General features: G+C 38.3%; 1 annotated feature.

Annotated features, from left to right (window-relative positions):
* Positions 6,133–6,684: an enhancer, noted in NCBI's record as "H3K27ac-H3K4me1 hESC enhancer chr8:115648705-115649256 (GRCh37/hg19 assembly coordinates)". NCBI's record gives its function as "activates a minimal SCP1, AML or CMV promoter by ChIP-STARR-seq in primed H9 embryonic stem cells {active_cell/tissue: H9 hESC(primed)}" and the evidence as "EXISTENCE:reporter gene assay evidence [ECO:0000049][PMID:30033119]".

Below are 9,062 nucleotides of genomic sequence, written 5' to 3' on the forward strand. Positions count from 1 at the left end.
TCACACTACTCACAAATTCCTATACAGTCTATCTCATACATATGTTTCTAATTCAACTATTTTACTCAACTCCAACTTTTATTTCATCAGAGAAACAATATTTATTTTTAGTCCTACAATCTCAAAGATATTATCAAAGATATTTGAACTATGCATTGCCAGAAAAATCCTTAAAAATTATAGATTGTACCCTGCCACTCTACTCCTTAAGACATTTTAATGGGACTCTCATTTTAATGAGGATAAAAATCTACAATATCTATCATGGCTTATAAAGCATTATGTGATCTTCACTCTGTTTACTGCTAATGATTATGTATTGTTATGCCCCTCGTTTTTTTTTTGCTTTTTAATACATATGTTGCTTCCTCAAGGCTTCTTGCTTGGCTCCACCATTCTGGGTTTGCCACTCTCCTGTGTGTTCCATGACACATTGTATCCCCTAACTCCTTTGCTGTGTTGCACTTCTCTGCATCTTTACACTTGAAACTCTGTATACTTTATTAAACACTACATTTTTATCACCTCTTGTATTGCCTGAAACCATAGAAGCATTAATTAAAGTTGCTTGAGTACATTAGTAAATAACTATCTCCTTTGCTTTAAAAAGATCTATTTTGACTTAGGAAGACATATGTCTGATACAATAAATATTCAGAGAAATAAATTTGCTTCAGGGAATATTTATAAGGTACTTAATGTAACTACTACTTAGAAGCTTGTGTTCCTTTTAAATTGTCTGTTTTTTCATACTGAGAGGTAATATTTTATAATAAAGCCTACTCAAACATTGCATTGAATTGACTTGTGATCTTACCTTAGTTTTCAACACCTTTTTAAAAATTAGCTTGGTGTAGGAGATTATGCCAAATCAGAGTGAGCTATGAGAAACTCAGTCAACAAAAAACAATGTCATGAAAAGCCCACTCATTGTCATTTCTTTTTTTTTTTTTTAATTATACTTTAAGTTTTAGGGTACATGTGCACATTGTGCAGGTTAGTTACATATGTATACATGTGCCATACTGGTGCGCTGCACCCACTAACTCGTCATCTAGCATTAGGTATATCTCCCAATGCTATCCCTCCCCCCTCCCCCACCCCACAACAGTCCCCAGAGTGTGATATTCCCCTTCCTGTGTCCATGTGATCTCATTGTTCAATTCCCACCTATGAGTGAGAATATGCTGTGTTTGGTTTTTTGTTCTTGTGATAGTTTACTGAGAATGATGATTTCCAATTTCATCCATGTCCCTACAAAGGACATGAACTCATCATTTTTTATGGCTGCATAGTATTCCATGGTGTATATGTGCCACATTTTCTTAATCCAGTCTATTATTGTTGGACATTTGGGTTGGTTCTAAGTCTTTGCTATTGTGAATAATGCCGCAATAAACATACGTGTGCATGTGTCTTTATAGCAGCATGATTTATAGTCCTTTGGGTATATACCAAGTAATGGGATGGCTGGGTCAAATGGTATTTCTAGTTCTAGATCCCTGAGGAATCGCCACACTGACTTCCACCATGGTTGAACTAGTTTACAGTCCCACCAACAGTGTAAAACTGTTCCTATTTCTCCACATCCTCTCCAGCACCTGTTGTTTCCTGACTTTTTAATGATCACCATTCTAACTGGTGTGAGATGGTATCTCATTGTGGTTTTGATTTGCATTTATCTGATGGCCAGTGATGATGAGCATTTTTTCATGTGTTTTTTTGGCTGCATAAATGTCTTCTTTTGAGAAGTGTCTGTTCATGTCCTTCGCCCACTTTTTGATGGGGTTGTTTGTTTTTTTCTTGTAAATTTGTTTGAGTTCATTGTAGATTCTGGATATTAGCCCTTTGTCAGATGAGTAGGTTGTGAAAATTTTCTCCCATTTTGTAGGTTGCCTGTTCACTCTGATGGTAGTTTCTTTTGCTGTGCAGAAGCTCTTGAGTTTAATTAGATCCCATTTGTCAATTTTGGCTTTTGTTGCCATTGCTTTTGGTGTTTTAGACATGAAGTCCTTGCCCATGCCTATGTCCTGAATGGTATATAGCCTAGGTTTTCTTCTAGGGTTTTTATGGTTTTAGGTCTAATGTTTAAGTCTTTAATCCATCTTGAATTGATTTTTGTATAAGGTGTAAGGAAGGGATCCAGTTTCAGCTTTCTACATATGGCTAGCCAGTTTTCCCAGCACCATTTATTAAATAGGGAATCCTTTCCCCATTGCTTATTTTTCTCAGGTTTGTCAAAGATGAGATAGTTGTAGATATGCAGCATTATTTCTGAGGGCTCTGTTCTGTTCCATTGATCTATATCTCTGTTTTAGTACCAGTACCATGCTGTTTTGGTTACTGTAGCCTTGTAGTATAGTTTGAAGTCAGGTAGTGTGATGCCTCCAGCTTCGTTCTTTTGGCTTAGGATTGACTTGGCGATGCGGACTCTTTTTTGGTTCCATATGAACTTTAAAGTAGTTTTTTCCAATTCTGTGAAGAAAGGCATTGGTAGCTTTATGGTGATGGCATTGAATCTGTAAATTACCTTGGGCAGTATGGCCATTTTCACGATATTGATTCTTCCTACCCATGAGCATGGAATGTTCTTCCATTTGTTTGTATCCTCTTTTATTTCCTTGAGCAGTGGTTTGTAGTTCTCCTTGAAGAGGTCCTTCACATCCCTTGTAAGTTGGATTCCTAGGTATTTTATTCTCTTTGAAGCAATTGTGAATGGGATTTCAGTCATGATTTGGCTCTCTGTTTGTCTGTTGTTGGTGTATAAGAATGCTTGTGATTTTTGTACATTGATTTTGTATCCTGAGACTTTGCTGAAGTTGCTTATCAGCTTAAGGAGATTTTGGGCTGAGACAATGGGGTTTTCTAGATATACAATCATGTCGTCTGCAAACAGGGACAATTTGACTTCCTCTTTTCCTAATTGAATACCCTTTATTTCCTTCTCCTGCCTAATTGCCCTGGCCAGAACTTCCAACACTATGTTGAATAGGAGTGGTGAGAGAGGGCATCCCTGTCTTGTGCCAGTTTTCAAAGGGAATGCTTCCAGTTTTTGCCCATTCAGTATAATATTGGCTGTGGGTTTGTCATAGATAGCTCTTATTATTTTGAAATACGTCCCATCAATACCTAATTTATTGAGAGTTTTTAGCATGAAGGGTTGTTGAATTTTGTCAAAGGCTTTTTCTGCATCTATTGAGATAATCATGTGGTTTTTGTCTTTGGTTCTGTTTATATGCTGGATTACATTTATTGATTTGCGTATATTGAACCAGCCTTGCATCCCAGGGATGAAGCCCACTTGATCATGGTGGATAAGCTTTTTGATGTGCTGCTGGATTCGTTTTGCCAGTATTTTATTAAGGATTTTTGCATCAATGTTCATCAAGGATATTGGTCTAAAATTCTCTTTTTTTGTTGTGTCTCTGCCTGGCTTTGGTATCAGAATGATGCTGGCCTCATAAAATGAGTTAGGGAGGATTCCCTCTTTTTCTATTGATTGGAATAGTATCAGAAGGAATGGTACCAGCTCCTCCTTGTACCTCTGGTAGAATTCGGCTGTGAATCCATCTGGTCCTGGACTCTTTTTGGTTGGTAAGCTATTGATTATTGCCACAATTTCAGCTCCTGTTATTGGTCTATTCAGAGATTCAACTTCTTCCTGGTTTAGTTTTGGGAGAGTATATGTGTCCAGGAATTTATCCATTTCTTCTAGATTTTCTAGTTTATTTGCATAGAGGTGTTTGTAGTATTCTCTGATGGTAGTTTGTATTTCTGTGGGATCGGTGGTGACATCCCCTTTATCATTTTTTATTGCGTCTATTTGATTCTTCTCTCTTTTTTTCTTTATTAGTCTTGCTAGCGGTCTATCAATTTTGTTGATCCTTTCAAAAAACCAGCTCCTGGATTCATTAATTTTTTGAAGGGTTTTTTGTGTCTCTATTCCCTTCAGTTCTGCTGTGATTTTAGTTATTTCTTGCCTTCTGCTAGCTTTTGAATGTGTTTGCTCTTGCTTTTCTAGTTCTTTTAATTGTGATGTTAGGGTGTCAATTTTGGATCTTTCCTGCTTTCTCTTGTGGGCATTTAGTGCTATAAATTTCCCTCTACACACTGCTTTGACTGTGTCCCAGAGATTCTGGTATGTTGTGTCTTTGTTCTCATTGGTTTCAAAGAACATCTTCATTTCTGCCTTCATTTCGTTATGTACCCAGTAGTCATTCAGGAGCAGGTTGTTCAGGTCCCATGTAGTTGAGCGGTTTTGAGTGAGATTCTTAATCCTAAATTCTAGTTTGATTGCACTGTGGTCTGAGAGATAGTTTGTTATAATTTCTGTTCTTTTACATTTGCTGAGGAGAGCTTTACTTCCCAGTATGTGGTCAATTTTGGAATAGGTGTGGTGTGGTGCTGAAAAAAATGTATATTCTGTTGATTTGGGGTGGAGAATTCTGTAGATGTCTATTAGGTCCGCTTGGTGCAGAGCTGAGTTCAATTCCTGGGTATCCTTGTTGACTTTCTGTCTCGTTGATCTGTCTAATGTTGACAGTGGGGTGTTAAAGTCTCCCATTATTAATGTGTGGGAGTCTAAGTCTCTTTGTAGGTCACTCAGGACTTGCTTTATGAATCTGGGTGCTCCTGTATTGGGTGCATATATATTTAGGATAGTTAGCTCTTCTTGTTGAATTGATCCCTTTACCATTATGTAATGGCCTTCTTTGTCTCTTTTGATCTTTGTTGGTTTAAAGTCTGTTTTATCAGAGACTAGGATTGCAACCACTGCCTTTTTTTGTTTTTCATTGGCTTGGTAGATCTTCCTCCATCCTTTTATTTTGAGCCTATGTGTGTCTCTGCACGTGAGATGGGTTTCCTGAATACAGCACACTGATGGATCTTGACTCTTTATCCAATTTGCCAGTCTGTGTCTTTTAATTGGAGCATTTAGTCCATTTACATTTAAAGTTAATATTGTTATGTGTGAATTTGATCCTGTCATTATGATGTTAGCTGGTTGTTTTGCTCATTAGTTGATGCAATTTCTTCCTAGTCTTGATGGTCTTTACATTTTGGCATGATTTTGCAGCAGCTGGTACCGGTTGCTCCTTTCCATGTTTAGCGCTTCCTTCAGTAGCTCTTTTAGGGCAGGCCTGGTGGTGACAAAATCTCTCAGCATTTGCTTGTCTGTAAAGTATTTTATTTCTCCTTCACTTATGAAGCTTAGTTTGGCTGGATATGAAATTCTGGGTTGAAAATTCTTGTCTTTAAGAATGTTGAATATTGGCCCCCACTCTCTTCTGGCTTGTAGGGTTTCTGCCGAGAGATCCGCTGTTAGTCTGATGGGCTTCCCTTTCAGGGTAACCCGACTTTTCTTTCTGGCTGCCCTTAACATTTTTTCCTTCATTTCAACTTTGGTGAATCTGACAATTATGTGTCTTGGAGTTGCTCTTCTCGAGGAGTATCTTTGTGGCGTTCTCTGTATTTCCTGAATCTGAACTTTGGCCTGCCTTGCTAGATTGGGGAAGTTCTCCTGGATAATATCCTGCAGAGTGTTTTCCAACTTGGTTCCATTCTCCCCGTCACTTTCAGGTACACCAATCAGACGTAGATTTGGTCTTTTCACATAGTCCCATATTTCTTGGAGGCTTTGCTCATTTCTTGTTATTCTTTTTTCTCTAAACTTCCCTTCTCGCTTCATTTCATTCATTTCTTCCATTGCTGATACCCTTTCTTCCAGTTGTTCGCATCGGCTCCTGAGGCTTCTGCATTCTTCACGTAGTTCTCGAGCCTTGGTTTTCAGCTCCATCAGCTCCTTTAAGCACTTCTCTGTATTGGTTATTCTAGTTATACATTCTTCTAAATTTTTTTCAAAGTTTTCAACTTCTTTGCCTTTGGTTTGAATGTCCTCCCATAGCTCAGAGTAATTTGATCATCTGAAGCCTTCTTCTCTCAGCTCGTCAAAGTCATTCTCCATCCAGCTTTGTTCCGTTGCTGGTGAGGAACTGCCTTCCTTTGGAGGAAGAGAGGTGCTCTGCTTTTTAGAGTTTCCAGTTTTTCTGTTCTATTTTTTCCCCATCTTTGTGGTTTTATCTACTTTTGGTATTTGATGATGGTGATGTACAGATGGGTTTTTGGTGTGGATGTCCTTTCTGTTTGTTAGTTTTCCTTCTAACAGACAGGACCCTCAGCTGCAGGTCTGTTGGAATACCCTGCCGTGTGAGGTGTCAGTGTGCCCCTGCTGGGGGGTGCCTCCCAGTTAGGCTGCTCGGGGGTCAGGTGTCAGGGACCCACTTAAGGAGGTAGTCTGCCCATTCTCAGATCTCCAGCTGCGTGCTGGGAGAACCACTGCTCTCTTCAAAGCTGTCAGACAGGGACATTTAAGTCTGCAGAGGTTACTGCTGTCTTTTTGTTTGTCTGTGCCCTGCCCCCAGAGGTGGAGCCTACAGAGGCAGGCAGGCCTCCTTGAGGTGTGGTGGGCTCCACCCAGTTGGAGCTTCCAGGCTGCTTTGTTTACCTAAGCAAGCCTGGGCAATGGCGGGCGCCCCTCCCCCAGCCTTGGTGCCGCCTTGCAGTTTGATCTCAGACTGCTGTGCTAGCAATCAGCGAGACTCCCTGGGCGTAGGACCCTCCGAGCCACGTGAGGTATATAATCTCCTGATGTGCTGTTTTTTAAGCCGGTCGGAAAAGCCCAGTATTCTGGTGGGAGTGACCCGATTTTCCAGGTGAGTCCGTCACCCCTTTCTTTGACTCAGAAAGGGAACTCCCTGACCCCTTGCACTTCCCAAGTGAGGCAATGCCTCGCCCTGCTTCGGCTCGCGCATGGTGCGTGCGCCCACTGACCTGTGCCCACTGTCTGGCACTCCCTAGTGAGTTGAACCCGGTACCTCAGATGGGAATGCAGAAATCACCTGTCTTCTGCGTCGCTCACGCTGGGAGCTGTAGACCTGGGCTGTTCCTATTCGGCCATCTTGGCTCCTCCCCTGTCATTTCTAAGTCTTTATTTGATTCCTTTATGTTGAAAGCATGTTGACTTTTGAGTAATTTTCAGAAAAGCTATTATTATTCAAGTGTATAACCAATAAAGACTGAGGGTATTTTTCCTTAGAAGAAAGTTGGAAATGAATTTTAATTGTGACTTAATACTTGCAACATTTTCTTTCCTCCTGTTTGCTCCTCAGCTCCCCGTGCTGTCCATAAATATGTCGTTTGCTGTCATAACAATGGTTTAGCAACAAATGCTTTGAATAGAACACATCTCTTCAATGTGTAAAATTATTCACTTTCCTGTGCTGATCTGTCTTAACTATAAAGCCTTAAAACATATCTTAATATCTGATTGGGAAAATCTAGCAGTGGTTTCCAGTAAAGTCTTGGCTAATTTTAGCCCTTTATTGTGAATTTTGATTTAATTTACTAAGCGCCACAGAACCAACAACAAACAACAGTTAAAATATTCATAAGATTTCTAAAATTAGAATTGCAATGAATAAAACCAATTTGGAGATCACTGACATTTTACAATAGCTGGTCTTTCTATTCAGCAAAATGTTTCTGTGTCTTTTAATGATTCCCATGTATTTTCATTTTTTTCTCCATAAAGTTTTCCACATATTTTGTTAGATTTATTCCTAGAAATATTTTGTTCTTCCAAAATACATATTTCTGTAATAAGAATTACCTCATATATGACTGATAACTTTGGTAATGACACTAATAGAATACAGATGTCAGGTTGATTCATTTTCTTCAACAGAAGCTAAACACAAATGCAACTTAAAACAGAGGATCACTGAGGAAGATAGTAGTTACGAAAAGTCACAGTCCTCTCCTTGACTCAGTTTTGCTCATTCTTATTGTTGTTATTAAGAGTGAAGATGTTAAGAAACTGTCTCACAGAGAGGGTCTTTCTATGAGAGAACCAGAAAATACGTGTTACTCAGTGACAATAGAGACCAAAAGCTGAAAAAAAAATTGCAGCAGGCTATCCATGAGGGTACAAGTCAGTTATCACCTGTCTTAAATGTGATAAGAAATGTGACTGTGAGTAGAAGACATGATCACAGTGTGGCATGTAGCAGGGGTGAACTTGATGGCATTGGATTAGGTACTCTGTAAAGCCAATAAGCAAGTCCTATTTGAAGCCATGTAAGCATCTTTTATTTATAGTTTATTAATGAATAAGGAAGAGGGCAAAAAAAAAGAAAAAGAAATAATGTGAACTAATGGAAAGAAACAAATTCAAGACAATGAGCCAGGTAATCAATCTTTGGCAGCATGTTACTTTTCCAGTTGACTCATTGTTCCTTTACCTGTAGCTACTGATGAAGACAGCTCTCTCAGCTTGTCCCCCTAATTGAACAGCGACATTTTTCCTTAGATACCATTCATCAATTTACATTTACCTATTTAAAAATTATCTATACATATGCTATAAAATTCCTTTAATAGGAAGAATTTGGCATGCCTTTTAAAATATGTTAATATTTTATTAGAATTGTTATTAACTTTCAGTGCTCTGTTTATAATGTCGCAAGGGATTTGAATGATTGATTCTTGATCTTTTATTTTTCCCATAATCATATTCTTTTCTGGGAATAGCACATGATTTTTCCAAAACCTGAGGTTATTCAGGACTATGTGGAAGAGTTGTATAAATTATAAATATGCCAATGTTATTTATCTATTTGAAAAAAAAACCTCTATCTAATTTGTGTTTGTATATAGACATGAACTTGTTTATTGTTTTTGGTTTTGTGTCCTGCAAATTTGCTACATTCGAATAGTATATCTGCTAATATTTGTAATGTCAATCTAGTCGTTATACATAGCTTATGTTTGTGCTATGTAAACAATCATCTGCAAAAACTCATTGATATCCCTGCTATTCCGCCATTTTATAACCTTTCATCCTTTAATTTATATCACTTGCTAGGTCTTCCATTAAAATAGTGAATAGTAATGGTAATATGATATTAGAGGAAATGTTTTCATAATTTAAAATTTTAACAATATGTTAAGAATCTCTAGATTCTTCTTTATGGTGTTAAGTAACTTCCTTTTTATTTTCAGTA

This window comes from Homo sapiens, chromosome 8, assembly GCF_000001405.40.
Source record: "Homo sapiens chromosome 8, GRCh38.p14 Primary Assembly".
Taxonomy (NCBI): Eukaryota; Metazoa; Chordata; class Mammalia; order Primates; family Hominidae; genus Homo; species Homo sapiens.